The sequence below is a fragment of the Homo sapiens genome, chromosome 6 (assembly GCF_000001405.40).
Source record: "Homo sapiens chromosome 6, GRCh38.p14 Primary Assembly".
In the NCBI taxonomy this organism is placed as follows: Eukaryota; Metazoa; Chordata; class Mammalia; order Primates; family Hominidae; genus Homo; species Homo sapiens.
Genome location: NC_000006.12, coordinates 78452777 through 78469290, shown reverse-complemented (window position 1 = coordinate 78469290; position 16514 = coordinate 78452777). Strand labels below are relative to the sequence as shown.

At 39.6% G+C, this 16514-nt stretch overlaps 2 annotated features.

Moving 5' to 3' along the window:
• Positions 1372-1572: a silencer, noted in NCBI's record as "peak5909 fragment used in MPRA reporter construct". NCBI's record gives its function as "represses an SCP1 promoter by STARR-seq MPRAs in K562 erythroleukemia cells {active_cell/tissue: K562}" and the evidence as "EXISTENCE:reporter gene assay evidence [ECO:0000049][PMID:32103011]".
• Positions 7766-7935: an enhancer, noted in NCBI's record as "experimental_95967 CRE fragment used in MPRA reporter constructs". NCBI's record gives its function as "activates a minimal promoter by MPRAs in K562 erythroleukemia cells, with activity observed for both the introgressed and non-introgressed 6:79171158 variant alleles {active_cell/tissue: K562}" and the evidence as "EXISTENCE:reporter gene assay evidence [ECO:0000049][PMID:34662402]".

Here is a 16514-nt window from a genome sequence, read left to right as displayed (position 1 = left end):
CTGGTTATTTTGCTCGTTAGTTGATGCAGTTTCTTCCTAGCCTTGATGGTCTTTATTACTTGGCATGTTTTTGCAGTGGCTGGTACCAGCTGTTCCTTTCCTTGTTTAGTGCTTCCTTCAGGAGCTCTTGTAGGGGAGGCCTGGTGGTGACAAAATCTCTCAGCATTTGCTTGTCTGTAAAGGATTTTATTTCTCCTTCACTTGTGAAGCTTAGTTTGGCTGGATATGAAATTCTGGGTTGAAAATTCTTTTCTTTAAGAATGTTGAATATTGGTCCACACTCTCTTCTGGCTTGTAGAGTTTCTGCTGAGAGATCAGCTGTTAGTCTGTTGGGCTTCCCTTTGTGGGTAACCCGACCTTTCTCTCTGGCTGCCCTTAACATTTTTTCCTTCATTTCAACTTTGGTAAATCTGTCTTGGAGTTGCTCTTCTGGAGGAGTATCTTTGTGGCGTTCTCTGTATTTCCTGAATCTGAATGTTGGCCTGCCTTGCTAGATTGGGGAAGTTCTCTTGGATAATATCCTGCAGAGTGTTTTCCAACTTGGTTCCATTCTCCCCGCCATTTTCAGGTACACCAATCAGATGTAGATTTGGTCTTTTCACACAGTCCCATATTTCTTGGAGGCTTTGTTCGTTTCTTTTTATTCTTTTTTCTCTAAACTTCTCTTCTCGCTTCATTTCATTCATTTCATCTTCCATCACTGATACCCTTTCTTCCAGTTGATTGCATCAGCTCCTGAGGCTTCTGCATTCTTCACGTAGTTCTCAAGCCTTGGCTTTCAGCTGCATCAGCTCCTTTAAGGACTTCTCTGCATTGGTTATTCTAGTTATGCCTTCATCTGATTTTTTTTCAAAGTTTTTAACTTCTTTGCCATTGGTTTGAGTTTCCTCCTGTAGCTTGGAGTAGTTTGATCGTCTGAAGCCTTCTTCTCTCAGCTTGTCAAAGTCATTTTCTGTCCAGCTTTTTTCCGTTGCTGATTAGGAGCTGCATTCCTTTGGAGGAGGAGAGGCACTCTGCTTTTTAGAGTTTCCAGTTTTTCTGCTCTGTTTTTTCCCCATCTTTGTGGTTTTATCTACTTTTGGTCTTTGATGATGGTGACATACAGAAGGGTTTTTGGTGTGGATGTCCTTTCTGTTTGTTAGTTTTCCTTTTAACAGACAGGACCCTCAGCTGCAGGTCTGTTGGAGTTTGCTAGAGATCCACTCCAGACCCTGTTTGCCTGGGTATCAGCAGCAGTGGCTGTAGAACAGCAGATCTTGGTGAACTGCAAATGTTGCTGCCTGATCGTTCCTCTGGAAATTTTGTCTCAGAGGAGTACCCGGCCGTGTGAGGTGTCAGTCTGCCCCTACTGGGGGGTGCTTTCCAGTTAGGCTGCTCGGGGGTCAAGGACCCACTTGAGGAGGCAGTCTGCCCATTCCCAGATCTCCAGCTGCTGCTGGGAGAACCACTGCTCTCTTCAAAGCTGTCAGACAGGGACATTTAAGTCTGCAGAGGTTACTGCTGTCTTATTGTTTGTCTGTGCCCTGCCCCCAGAGGTGGAGCCTACCGGGGCAGGCAGGCCTCCTTGAGCTGTGGTGGGCTCCACCCAGTTCGAGCTTCCCAGCTGCTTTGTTTACCTAATCAAGCCTGGGCAATGGCAGGCGCCCCTCCCCCAGCCTCGCTCCCACCTTGCAGTTTGATCTCAGACTGCTGTGCTAGCAATCAGCGAGACTCCGTGGGTGTAGGACCCTCCGAGCCAAGTGCGGGATATAATCTCCTGGTGTGCAGTTTTTTAAGCCCGTGGGAAAAGCACAGTATTAGGGTGGGAGTGACCTGATTTTCCAGGTGCCATCTGTCACCCCTTTCTTTGACTAGGAAAGGGAACTCCCTGACCCCTTGTGCTTCCTGAGTGAGGCAATGCCTCGCCCTGCTTCAGCTCGTGCATGGTGCGCTGCACCCACTGTCCTCCGCCCACTGTCTGGCACTGCCTAGTGAGATGAACCTGGTACCTTAGATGGAAGTGCAGAAATCACCCATCTTCTGCACTCAGGCTGGGAGTGGTAGACCGGAGCTGTTCCTATTCGGCCATCTTGGCTCCATCCCAGTAGTTTTATTCTTAATGTGACCTCATTAGTTCTCATGAACTAATAGGTGCGGGAAAGAATCCATGCCATTCTAATTTTTTGGGGGGGACGGAGTCTCACTGTATTGCCAAGGCTGGAGTGCAGTGATGCAATCTCGGATCACTGCAACCTCTGCCTCCTGTGTTCAAGCTATTCTTATGCCTCAGCCTCCTAAGTAGCTGGGACTACAGGCACATGCCACCATTCCTTGCTAATTTTTGTATTTTTAGTGGAGAAGGGGTTTTGCCATGTTGGCCAGACTGGTCTCCAACTCCTGACCTCAAGTGATCCATCTCCCTTGGCCTCCCAAAGTGCCAGGATTACAGGCTGAGCCACCACACTCGCCCCACTCTAAATTATAAGGGAGAATCACATCACATTCCATGATTTTGGTATCATCTTTTATTTATTGCATTTGGCACTATATGTAGTCGATATCCGTTGATAGATAAAATGAAGAAAAAGGAGGTGAAGATGAAAAAGAATGAAGGTATAACAATCGGGAATAGCTTGGAATGCCAATCCAAGTGCCATATTCCTGAGTAGACTCACTTGTTAGATTGCTTACTAAGGTTAGTGGTCTTTCTATTCAGGTATATACCTCTGAATCTTGAAATTTCTTATAATTTGAAATGTATTTTCAACCATATTCAAAGTTTGAAAATCCACAAGATTAGAGCTTCATATGGGTTAATAAACATTTACTTTAGAAAGGTTTACATACATGAGACACATATACATATGTGAGACAGTTGCATATGTCAGTTAGATATTGCACATATGAATTCAGCTGGATTGCTCCACTTCTTTTGTAAAATTGAATGTATGATGGGAGGCAGATAATTACTTAATTTTTTAGCATTAAATAGTTCAGGAGCTGGGTTTGTATGAGAGAAGCACGGCTGCATGATGACATTGGGCAACTGGGAAGAAGTTAGAGCGGTATATCAAAAAGGACATTGGGAGAAATAAAAAGGCAAGTTGTTTGCTACACAATTTTTACTGAGCTTTGCTTTGTACTATGACTACAAAACACAGAATCTTGTCTCTTATGGTATTTTGTTTGTTTGTTTTCCCCTAACATTACATACCCTCAGCTACTTGTATCTGGGACTCTACTGAGTCCTTTGTATTATAACCCTGCTTCTTTATGGTAACTGGTTTTTTCAACCTAGTCTTAGAACCTACACAATACTTATAACACAATTTTTCCATTCTAAAAATTTTACTTGAATTAAGTGTAACGTTATAAATTTGAGAGTTGGGGCAAATTTACACAGAGCTAGTACCCATCTGACTTCTGACATTTTTCTTTCCAGTGTACATAAAATGTAGTTTTTTTTTCTCCATGGGTCCAAAGTAAATTATTTTTCATTCTAAATATCTTGCTTCACTTGCATGACTCAGTTCTTCATATAGTCTGTAAAGCTACGTGCACTTTCTTCTATGTCTAGAAGAGGGAAAATAGCTAATTTAAGGGTATAGAAAAATAGGAGTTTTAAAAGCATTTGAAACCCAGATCATTAAATTATATGGAGAATAATGTATGTGATGCTTTCTATTAAATGGAAAATGTTATAATATATAAAGCAGTTTTTTTATTGTTTAGATAACAGAGCATCGTATGATTTTCTGTATTGAAGCCCTACAATGTTCTTTGGTTATTTAAATGATACTGTTGTTAGCATGGAAGTCTGTTTTAGCCTGTTGCCAGTCATCAGCTTCATGATAGGCATGTAGGACATTTATAGAATCCACAACTCTGACCAAAACACATGTGGCCTCAAATTGAAGAGGACAGTTAATGTCAAACCAAAATGACAGATGTCCCTCAAGCTGTTGCCTTGTGCTCAAATAATGGTAGATTCAAAGCCAGCTCAGCATTTCCCAGAGACCTATATTTCATCCAGGCTCTGTCAACACAGCTTGATCAATGTCTTCACAGGAAAAGTGGAAGCATATGGATGATTAACTTCAAGCATTTGTCACTGAGACCAAGCTTAGAGCGGTTCTGGGCCATGTGATGGATGTCACAGGGAAGCCTCTTTGTATCTGCCAGTCAAGCGGAGTTACTATGAAAGTATTTAATGATATAGGAGAATCTTCATTGCTCACTTTCAGCTTCTGGCAATGCGAATATTCTGCAGAGCTGAATGATAGAGCCAGCAAAAGGGAGGTAGGGACACAGAGGGAAAAAGGGAAAACACATTCAGGTCTTTTAAACTTGTTCTTGGCTTTTCCAGAGACCATTTTCTCTTCCTTCATCATTTTACAAAATAACTACTACAGTTACAAAATAACTACATAATTACTTAAATTATTTGTAAATACAATTATTTACAAGGTAACTACATACATTATAGGATTAGATAAACCATAATGGGAGAACAAACTTAGGATTTGGACTCAGAAAACCTGGGTTTCAGTTTTAACTTGTCAACTCACTAGATGTGAGACTTTCAGCAAGTTATCTGCTTGTTCTAAGTCTCATCATTCTCATAAAAAAGATAATAAATAGGCCCGTTTATATGATTTCATGAGGACTAGTGTGCATTTTAGTACTTGGCACATAATAAAAAAGGCTTGATAAAGATTTTTAAGAAACATTTATTTGTGTATTTATACATTTTACATGGAAGGAAGGCTACAGATTCTGGTTGCTCACTAGTTGATCACTTTCTGTTATACAGAAAGCTAATAAAAAGCTATTCTTAGTACTATTTTTATTAATAAAACATAGTCTACACCAATTTTATTATATAAATATATAAAGTTTTTTTGTAGCGTATTTCTTCACTGTTACACAAATACTGTATTAATTGGCACTCTAACAGAGTGTCAAAACTAATGGCCTTTGTTTTATTTGGAAAACTTTAACAATGCTGCTATACTGGGTAGATTTTGCCATCCTCTTAGGGTAATTAGTTGACTTTTAAAATAATACTATGTGATAATGACATTTATAAACCATAATTGTTTTAATAATCAGTTTTGTTTGGTGGCTAAAAATGTTATTTGATGTATACTCTGCAAGATGATTAGTTTCTTTTTTGATAATTTAATTGGGGGATATTTGAGAGTATTTTTTTCTTTTTTGAGACGGAGTCTGGCTTTGTCACCCAGGCTGGAGTGCAGTGGCGTGATCTCGGCTCACTGCAAGCTCTGCCTCCCAGGTTCACGCCATTCTCCTGCTTCAGCCTCCCAAGTAGCTGGGACTACAGGCGCCCGCCACTACGCCCGGCTAATTTTTTGTATTTTTAGTAGAAACGGGGTTTCACCGTGTTAGCCAGGATGGTCTCGATCCCCTGACCTCGTGATCCACCTGCCTCGGCCTCCCAAAGTGCTGGGATTACAGGCGTGAGCCACCGCGCCCGGTGAGAGTATTTTTACCTCTAAGATTCTAATTTATTGTTGAAGGTAAACTCCTCTGTAGGACCACCCTAACCCCTGAGGAATATTCATTTTGCAAAGATGCTCAACCTTGTTAGAGTCATCTCCTTCAGGAGAGTTGGAGTTCTCATCTTATCCCAAGAAGTGCTGTGGTGCTACATGGCAGAAATCACAGTCTTTATCTGTATACATGGATAATGTAACACCCATCCCTGGAAATAGCAAACTACAATGCTATTATACAATGGATAAAAGAGGAAGGGAAGAGGAAAATGAAAATGTAGGAAAAAACAAAGATGTGCATGTGTACACACACACACACACACACACACATGCACGGGAACACACTGAAAGAGGATAAACAGAGGATGAACACAGAGGAATAGTGGAGAATCTAAACAGGCACTGATGTTTGAAATACACTGTTGAAATAGTGAAAATTAAAAGAAAAATTTATTTTCTTTTAAGAAACACTGTATTTAAAGAAAAAACTGCTTTGGAGATCTTTTTCTCTTTTTTTGAGACAGAGTCTCTCTCTCTGGCACCCAGACTGGAGTGCAGTGGTGCAATCTCGGCTCACTGCAAGCTCTGCCTCCCGGGTTCACGCCGTTCTCCTGCCTCAGCCTCCCGAGTAGCTGGGACTACAGGTGCCCGTCCCCACGCCCGGCTAATTTTTCGTATTTTAGTAGAGACGAGGTTTCACCGTGTTAGCCAGGACGGTCTCAATCTCCTGACTTCGTGATCTGTCCGCCTTGGCCTCCCAAAGTGCTGGAATTACAGGCGTGAGCCACCACGCCCAGCCTGCTTTGGAGATCTTTAAGCACAATAACTCATCAGATCCCATCTCTCAGACAGGGTGTGAACACCAGGCATCCCGGAAGACTTGACTGGATGTGTAAACATTGCATCATTTCTTTAGAGTCAGCAGTGTGCAGAGAGCTATGGGTGATGTTGGGGGAGCCTTCCCTCGGAAAAGGTAGCTAAAGCTATCTAGAGTTTGCACTGGACACTTCTTGTAATGAGGCCATGCAGATGATGTGATTTCAGATGTGAAGCCACTAGACAGAGAGGGTAGAGACCTCATGAAAGTTGAAATACAAAGCTTTTTTGTATTTCAAAATACAAAAAAATTTGTGGAGGATATGTGGAGGATATAGCCTAAAGGAATGTCCTGTGTCTAAAGAAAATAGCAAAAGTGGCTTTTGTAGTAGCTCTCTCATCTCAAATAGGAGCAGGAAGAAGTAACGACAAGTTCTGGTCTGGTTTGGAAAATGTCCACAAGGTGCCACAAACCTGCCAGTACAAACCGTCCTGTCTCCGAGTTCCTGTGAGTCCCATTCTTCTTGGAATCAAAGGAGAGAAACTGACCCTTGCTTCCTATGCAGGATTCTTGTGCAGGATTGCTAACTTCTTTCAGCTCCCTTTTCCCTATGGCTTATAGGCTGCACCTGTGCTGAAGTGGTTTTGTTTTTGGCACACATTTGATTCAGAGTCCAATGAAGAACAAGGATTAGTGCTGTTTCACTGCATTCATTTATAGGAGAATTCTTTGAATTTTAAATAATTATCTTCTATATTTCAGACTTCCGTTTGTTGATTAGTTCTTGAAGTTAATTATCTTGAATAGCTTAATGTGGCTTAGTGCTTATATAAAACTCTAATTTGTTTTCTAAATATACCATCTTTATTAATTTTATCTAGATACTTTGATTCCTGATTCTTTAGCAAAGGTAGCCTATACATTTTGTGAGAAGCAGAGTTACATTTGAAACTAGTGGTTTTGGGAATCACAGTTTTCAGCTTCTGCCTTCATTTCATGTAAAATTTCTAAGAGCCAATTTGGGGGCATTATCTACATCTGGTACATCTGTCATCTTAATGGCATTTTTGTCATGTGTTGCCTCACTGGAATAGTTAGCAAATATGAGCACCTGTAACTAAAATGCTTGGAAAAATACTTCTATTATAAAGGTCAGGTCAAATACCTTCAAACGATATATACTTATATTAAAAATTGTTTCTTTGCTAAAATACTTAGGTCTGTGACCCTTTCATTCTGTAACACACTTCTCAGCATGAAGGGAATTAAGAAAGTCTCTTAGAAAGTATCATAATGTTTATATATATATGTATTTAAATATATATGTATTTATATAAATTTATCTAATATTTGTGTATAAATATACAAATATTAAATATACGTATTTTATATACATATTTAATATAGAATTTTATTTTTATTGGTTAAAAACTAATATTTATATATTAATAAACAATATAGCATTTGGAAATATTTCTTTTACATTTGTTATTCATATATATAACTATCTGCTTTATTTAATATATATGTTTGTGTATGTGTAATTAGAGAAGTTGTTAAAACAGGGCTTTTCCTTTCCTATCAGCCAAAACACCAATGCAAAATGCTAAACTGCAAGCACAAACTTTGTATTGATAATTGCCAGTCAATTTTTCTTGTAGATTTGCAGTAACAGAAAGACAAAACACCTGTTGGATCAGTTAAATAAAATTTGCTTTTTTAAATAATACAGAGGGAAGTGGGTGTAATCAGCAACCCTTGTCAGGGCTATTTATGAAGGCACTAGCTTCCGGATACTCCTCAGAACCTCAGGAAGCCCAATCACCCACACTGCACTCCTCAGGACAGCCTTATACATGTGCAGGTGAAGCTGGATCACGTCAACAGACTACACCTAAAGCAGTCTGGATGTGTGTTGGGAGGATCACTTCACCTGAGCTATGTATATCTATCTCATAGGATTTCAGGGTTATACAATATACCATGTGACTGCTGAGTAAAACAGAAGACTCAGACAGGAACACAGCTCTCATTCATAACATGCCTCCTCTCCAGACTAACAAAGCGCAATCCTGGTGAGCTACTGAACTTAAAGCTGCAGAACTGGAATGAGGGCTTGTTACCCAGAACTCTCTTGAAGGTATGTTCACAGTTTTAGACCAGCCATGCAGCTTATTCTTCAACCACCCGCAAGGCTATGCTAAGATTTGTTCTACTTGTTCCCTATCTTGATGTCTTATTCTTGAGTCTCAGTACTTGTTTTCTAGATCTTTTGGTGGGAATGATTCAGAGTCTTGTGCCTTAATAGGACTGGAAAAAAATCTAACATATTCCTTTTTTCCCCCTGTCTCTTCACCATCAAAGGAACTTTATCCAGATAAATCAGGTGATCTGGGCCTGGCTCAGTGAAAGGGATTGAGGCAGTCCTATGAGCACTGTTGGAGTTAAAGGGAAACAAAAACCCTCACTGGAGGTGTTTTTTTAATGAAATAATAACCATCCCAGTATTCTTCAAATCATCACCTAAATTCATCATCAGGCTCGTGTTGGCAGTTAAGGCATTAACTATTTAAAATAAATGATGAGTATAGAAATGCTTCCTACCTCAGATGGATAACTTGAGCAAATATCTTGTAAATAACTGAAAACTTCTGGATAAACCTGAGACCTAAACTTTTAATGAAAACTTATAATTGTATAGAATCAAATAACCATGAAAGTGATTTTACTGATACAACTTGGATATTTTTAGTTTTAGATGGGACTGGTGGCCTGTGTTCTTCAGTGCAGCATCTCAGTGGGGGCAATAATAGCAGTTATTTCCAGAACAGCTTTCAGGCATGAATGTCTGCTTGCATTCCAAATATCATTCCTGTCTGTGTGCATTCTCCTAGTTTGCTGATGTGGTCCTTGGGCTCATCTCCCTTCCAAAGTAATTTCCTTTCATTTTTCAAACTCTGAATAACTCACATGGGTTGATTGTTCATTATCCATATCAAATAACTCAGTGAATTATTTGTCCTCTTCCACTGGAGTGAATCAAGCTACAAGCCGTGTGGAAAAAGGGAAGAAAAAAATGAGACCAGTTGTCATGCACAGCTCTTCCTTTGTATGAATTTCATTTAGACATTCAATCTAAGCACTAAATAGGTCAAAGGCTGTTAATATTAACAAATATTCCCAGTTTTTTCAATATTTCCTGATTTTTTTTTTTTTTTTTTTTTTGCACATTATGAAAAGCAACTGAAGGGCAGCAAATCTTTAGAAGATTTTCCCTTTCCTCTTTTGCAATGAGCTTTTTCAGAGCTGGCCCAAAGCCAAGGGGGGGAAAAAAAAAGAAGAATCTCTCTTTATTAGGCTTCTAGACTTTACCAGTGCATACTCTGTGATTTTGATCATTTGCACTAAGTTCTCTGAGTCTCAGGTTAGTTTTCTCATCTATAAAATACTAGATAAAATATTGCTTGTTCCTCAGGTTTAGAAATTCAGTTGATATTTCCTAACCTACCCTGTACTGTTTTTCTGTGGAGATAGCAATCAACAAAAGATATGAAGGCTTACATTCTATTGAGAAGGCATAAGTAAATAAGTAAAGCATGTAGTTTATTCTTTGGTCTTAAGCCCTTGGGAAAAATTAATTAGAAGAGAGAGGGAAGTGTGAGGAGCTGTGCAATGTTAAATTCCCACATCAGTGATGCCTTTGCTGATAATGTGATAAGGGGATATTTGAACAGAGTCTGAAGGAAGTGGGAAAGGAAGCCATGGAGAATCCAGTGAGAACAGCAAGTGCAAATGCCCTGAAGGAATAAAAAGGTGTCTGGAGTAGGCAGTAAAGGCAAGAATTATAGAAGATCATGTGGGACTTGTAATCCAAAGCCAAGTTGGGATTTTGGATTTTATTATGCGTGAGATAAGAAGTCTTTTGATGAATTTGAGCAGAGAAGTGACTCTCTCTCTCCCTTCCTTCCTTCCATTGACAAATAAAAATTGTACATATTTATGGCATACAATATGTTTTGAAGTATGTATAAATTGTGAAATAGTTAAATCAGGCTAATTAACATATGCATTACTTCACATAGTTATGAATTTTTTTGTAATAAGAACACTTAAAACATACTTTCTTAACAATTTTCAATAATATATTGCTAGTAGTTGTAGTCACCATGTTGTTTAATAGATGTCTTGGATCTCTTTCTCTAGTCTAATTGAAATTTTGTATCTTCTGAGCAACATTTCCCCAAACCCCACCCTCCAGTCTCTGGTAACCACCATTCTACTCTCTACTTCTATGAGTTCAACTTTTTTAGATTTCATATATAAGTAAGATCATTCATACTCCCCTCTTTGGCGACCCCATGGGATCTTTAAATAGCTTCTATGTGCTAATGTCTAGGCCTCTCTTGTGAACACCAGTTTTATACATCCAACTGCAATTGCAGCTGTGATGTTGAATAGACACCTCTGACTCCACGTGACCAAAACTGAACTCCTTGTTTTATTTGCAAGCCTGAGTATCCTCACTCTTCCTTATCAATTGATGGCAACTCAATTTTTCCAGTTGCTCAGACAAGACCTTGGAGTCAGCCTTGACTCCTTCTGTTTCTCATCTTCCCACATCCTGTTAAGAAAACCTAGTTGTCATGATCCCTTCTCGCTACTATGACTGTCCAAGACATCCCTCTCTTTCACCCAGTTTATTACAGTGCCTCATAACTCGTCATTCTACTTCTGTTGTTATCCTTTCGGTCTATTTTCAATACATCAGCCAGGGTAATTATTTTAAAATATGGTTCAAATTGTTTAACTTCTCTGCTTAAATCCTTACTGGCTCCCCATTTCACTCATAGTAAACATCAACATTTTTGGTAATTTCCTGGAACTTTGCTCTCTGTTAGTTACAACCCCATTGGCCTCTCTGCCTCTGTGCTGCCTTTGGGCCTCTGTGCTGGTTGGCTGTTCACCCTACCTGAAACACTCTTCTTTTCCTGTTGACTTGCATACTTCAAGGTTTTGCTCAAATGTTGCCTTTTCAAAGAGGCCCTTCCTTCCTCAAAAATCCCTCTATTTACAATTAACAGCCCTTCTTTCCACCCCTGGAAATCGTCATCCCCTTACTTGGCTCTCTACATTTTGGAAGTATAGTGTTTATCACGCTCTAGCGTACAATATAACTGATATATTATTTTTATTGTTTATTGTTTGTCAGCCCCTGCTAGAATGTAAGCTCCATAAAAGTAAAAAACTTTTTCTGTTTTGTTGACTATGACATCCTAAGCATGTAGGTTGGTGCCTGACAGGTAGTCACCACTCAATAAATACGTGTTGGATGAATAAATGGAGCAGGGATCCAGTTAGAAAAGAACACTGTGTATGAGTTCTTAGATGACAAATTGACTGCATGAGAAGAAGCCAGGCTGTGTGGTACTTGAAGAAAAGCCTCAGATGTGAGCCAAGAATTATCTGGAATGGATTGTCCACTCTTCCCCTTATTCCTCAAGTCACCTTTAGGAGATGAGTTAACCTTTTTAGTTTCAGTCTATTTCTGTTAAAATGAGAAAAAGAATGTCTAAACTGAGAATGTACAAATGTACCTAAGTTTGCTTATTCATTCTTCAGCTGAAGGACATCTAAGTTGTTTTACCTTTGTCAGTTTACACCTAAAGATGCTGTAAAAGGCATATACAGATTTTTGTGTGTTCATAAGTTTTTATTTCTTTAGATAAATACTTAGGAGTAGGATTGCTAGGCCATAAGGTTGGTATATATTTTACTTAATAAGAAATTGTCAAATTGTTTTCCAAAGTAAAACCAAAAGTGTATAAGCATTTCAGTTGCTCCCTATTCTCGTTAGCACTTGGTATTGTCAACATCTTTTTAGTCATTGTAATAGTTGTTCAGTAATTTGTCATTCATTTAATTTGTATTTCTCTAATGACTAAGGTTGTTTAGAACCTTTTCATTTACTCACTAGTATCTGTTTAGCTTTTTTTGCTCATTAAAATAATTGGATTGTTTCAGGTCAGGCATGCTGGCTCACACTTGCAATCCCAGAGCTTTGGGAGGCTGAGGTGTTCATGACCAATCCAGGCAACAGAGTGAGACCCCATCTAATATGGTTTGGCTGTGTCCCCACCAAAAATCTCATTTTTAATTTTAGTTCCCATAATCCCCACTTGTCATGGGAGTGACCCAGTGGGAGGTAATTGAATCACGGAGGCAGTTACCTCCATGCTGTTCTAGTGATAGTGAGTGAGTTCTTATGAGATCCAATGGTTTTGTAAGGGACTTCTCTCCCTCTTTGCTCTGTACTTCACCTTGCAGCCTCCACGTGAAGAAGGAGGTGTTTGCTTACCCTTCCTCCATGATTGTAAGTTTCCTGAGGCCTCCTCAGCCCTGTGGAACTGAGTCAATTAATACTTTTTCCTTCATAAATTACCCATCTCAGGTATGTCTTTATCAGCAGCATGACAACAAACTAATACAATAAATTGGTACCAGTAGAGTGAGGTGCTGCTGTAAAGATACCTGAAAATGTAGAAGCAACTTTGGAAATGAGTAACAGCAGAGGTTGGAACAATTTGGAGGGCTCAGAAGAAGACAGGAAAATGCAGGAAAATTGGGAACATCCTAGAGAGATGGAGGGCTCAGAAGACAGGAAGATGTGGGAAAGTTTGGAACTTCCTAGAGACTTGTTGAATGGCTTTGACCAAAATGCTGATGTGATATGGACAATAAAGTCCGGGCTGAGGTGGTTTCAGAAGGAGAGGAGAAACTGGTTGGGAACTGGAGTATAAAGGTCAGTCTTGCTATGCAAAGAGAATGGTGGCATTTTGCTCCTGTGCTAGAGATCTGTGGAACTTTGAATTTGGGAGATTATTTAGGGTATCTGGTAAAAGAAATTTGTAGGTGGCAAAGCATTCAAGAGAAAGCAGACCATGAAAGTCTGGAATATTTGCAGCCTGACAATGTGATAGAAAACAAGACCCCATTTTCTGGGCAGAAATTCAAGTGGGCTGCAGAAATTTGCATAAGTAATGAGGAACCAAATGTTAATCACCAAGAGGATGGAAAAAATATCTCTAGGCTTGTCAGAGACCTTCACAGCAGCCCCTCCCATCACAGGCCTGGAGGGCTCGGAGGGAAAATGGTTTTGTGGGCTGGGCCCAGGGCACCCCTTCTCTGTGCAACCTCTGAACATTGTGCCCTGTGTCCCAGCTTCTTCAGCTCCAGCTGTGGCTAAAAGGGGCCAATGTGTATCTCAGGCTGTTGCTTCAGAGGTTGCAAGCTCCTGGGCTTGATGACTTACACATGGTGTTGGGCTTGTGGATACACAGAAGTCAAGAATTGAGTTTAGGGAACCTCCACCTAGATTACAGAGGATGTATGGAAATTCTCGGATGTCCAGGCAGAAGTCTGTTGCAAGGTTGGTAGCCTCATGGAGAACTTCTACTAGGGCAGTAGGGAAGGGAAATGTCAAATGGAAGCCCCCATACTGAGTTCCCAATGGGGCACTGCCTGATGGAGCTGTGAGAAGAGGGCCACCATCCTCCAGACCTCAAAATGGTAGACCCACCAACAGCCTGCACTGTGTGTATGGAAAAGCCATAGACCCACAACACCAGCCTGTGAAAGCAGCCAGGGTTGGGGGACTGTACCCTGCAAAGCCACAGGGTGAAGCTGCCTAAGGCCATGGGAGCCCAGCTCTTGCATCGGCATGACTGGGATGTGAGACATGGAGTCAAAGGAGATTATTTTGGAACTTTAAGGTTTAATGACTACCCTATAGGGGCCTGTAGTCCCTTTGTTTTGGCCAATTTCTCCCATTTGGAAAGGGTGCATTTACTCAATGCCTGTACTCCCATTGTATCTAGAAAGTAATAACTTGCTTTTGATTTTATAGGCTCATAGGTGTAAGGGACTTGTCTTGTCTCAGATGAGACTTTGGACCTGGACTTTTGGGTTAATGCTGGAATGAGCTAAGACTTTGGGAGACTGTTGGAGAGGCATAATTGTGTTTTGAAAGGTGAGGACATGAGATTTGGGAGGAGCCAGAGATGGAATGATATGGTTTGGCTGTGTCCCCACCCAAATCTCATCTTGAATTGTAGTTCCCATAATTCCCATGTGTCATGAGAGAGACCCAGTGGTAGGTAATTGAATCCTGGGGGCAGTTACTTCCATGCCATTCTGGTGATCATGAGTGAGTTCTTACAATATATGATGGTTTTATAAGGGGCTTCTCCCCCTGTTCACTTGGCACTTCTCCTTGCTGCCGCCATGTGAAAAAGGATATGTTTGCTTCCCCTTCCTCCATGATTGTAAGTTTCCTTAGGCCTCCCCAGCCATGCTGAACTAAGAGTCAATTAAATTTCTTTCCTGTATAAATTACCCAGCCTCAGGTATGTCTTTATTAGCAGTGGGAGAACAGACTAACCTCTACAAAACATAAATAAAAAGAAAAAGATTTGGTTGCATCTTTTCTGTTGTTAAGTTTTGAAAGTTTTAAAATATGTTCTGAATACAAGACTTTTGTTAGAAATGTGATTTGAAAATATTTTCTCCCAGTCTGTGGCTTGTCTTCACATTCATTTAACAGAATTCATAAAGCAAAGGCTTAATTTTGATTAAGTCCAATTTATTGATTTTTTCTTCATGGTTTACACTTTTGGTGCTGTACCTAATCTGTGTGTAACTTAATGTTAAAATGCTTTTATTTTCTTCTAGAGGTTTTGTAGTTTTATGTTTTCATTAATTCACTTCCAATTTTTCCAGCACCATTTGTTTAAAAGGCTCGCCTTCCTGCATTGAATTGTCTTGGTATGTTGGTAAAAAGTGTTTAGTTTTAAAAAATTGAATTCTATTTGTGTGGGCCTTAATTTCTCATTTTCTCTCTCTTTTTTGATGAAATAAGCAAAATAATCACCTTAAAATTAGGAGGGTTAAGAAACTGTTGGAGTTTCAGAAGAAAAAATCATGTAAACTTAACTTATTAATAATATACACTATTAATGTCTGTTATGTACCGGGAACTATTTAAATTTCTAGGAATGCATTTGTATGCAAAACACACAAAACTCCTGCCTTTTAATCTATATTGAAATATACATGTCATAAATGGGTGATTAAAGTAAAAGAAAATATAATTGAAATTATAGCCAACACTAAATGCTCACTTGGGAGTAGTGGTTATGAATTTAAATTGAGAGCAATCAACAAAATTTTGTATCTGCTCTCTAGTTTTACTCAGCTATTTATATGTCAGTGCAGACTGTAGACTGGACAGAGATTGGAGTCAATCAAGTTAGGGATTATGACAAAAAAGTATTGTATAGGGAGACTGACAAGGGGATTGAGAGTGTATATAGGAGACTGATTATAATGAATGGCTGAAGAATGGACAACATGAGATAAGTGAAGGAAGAGAAAGAGGTAGTGTTAATCGATTGGAAATGCTCATAGGCCAAAAGATTACTGAGGAGGGAGTGTAAGTAATGAGATGGAAAGATAGAGGTGACGTTCAGCGAATAAGATCTTAGAAATTAAAATTATGGATGATGAGAGAGATCCTACTTACTGATAGTGACAGGGGATGACTTTGTGAGTTATTTTCTTATGTGATGCAGAGGGCAGGATGAACAGGCTGGGAGGCCTAAGGAAACTTACAATCATGGAGGAACGGGAAGCAAACACATCCTTTTTCACATGGTGGCAGCAAGAAGGGGTGAGGAGGACAAGGAATTAAGACCAAGATTTGGGAAGAGTCAGTAAAATATAGTAATATCAGTGAATACTTAGTTCATAAAAATCATTACAAGCGTAGTATCAGTGAACAAGATAGTAAGCCAGGTACTAAAATCTTCCTGGAAAGAGGTGACATTGGGTGGCCTGGACATCCGTAGTTGACTATATCCAACATTGATGTATTAGTTTCCTATTGCTGCTGTAAAAAAAGACCACCAACTTGTAGTTCTAGAAATGAGAATTCCAAAATTACTTTCACTGGGCTAATGCCTAGTTGTAAGCAGGTCTGGTTACTCTGGAGCCTCTGAGGGGAAGATTTATTTCCTTGTCTTAACATACGTAATTGCAGTTAGGATCTACCGATGAAAATAATTCGTGGTACTCTCCCCATCTCAAGATGCTCAACTTAAATCACATCTGCAAAGTCTTTGTCATATAAGATAATATTCTACGTTCTA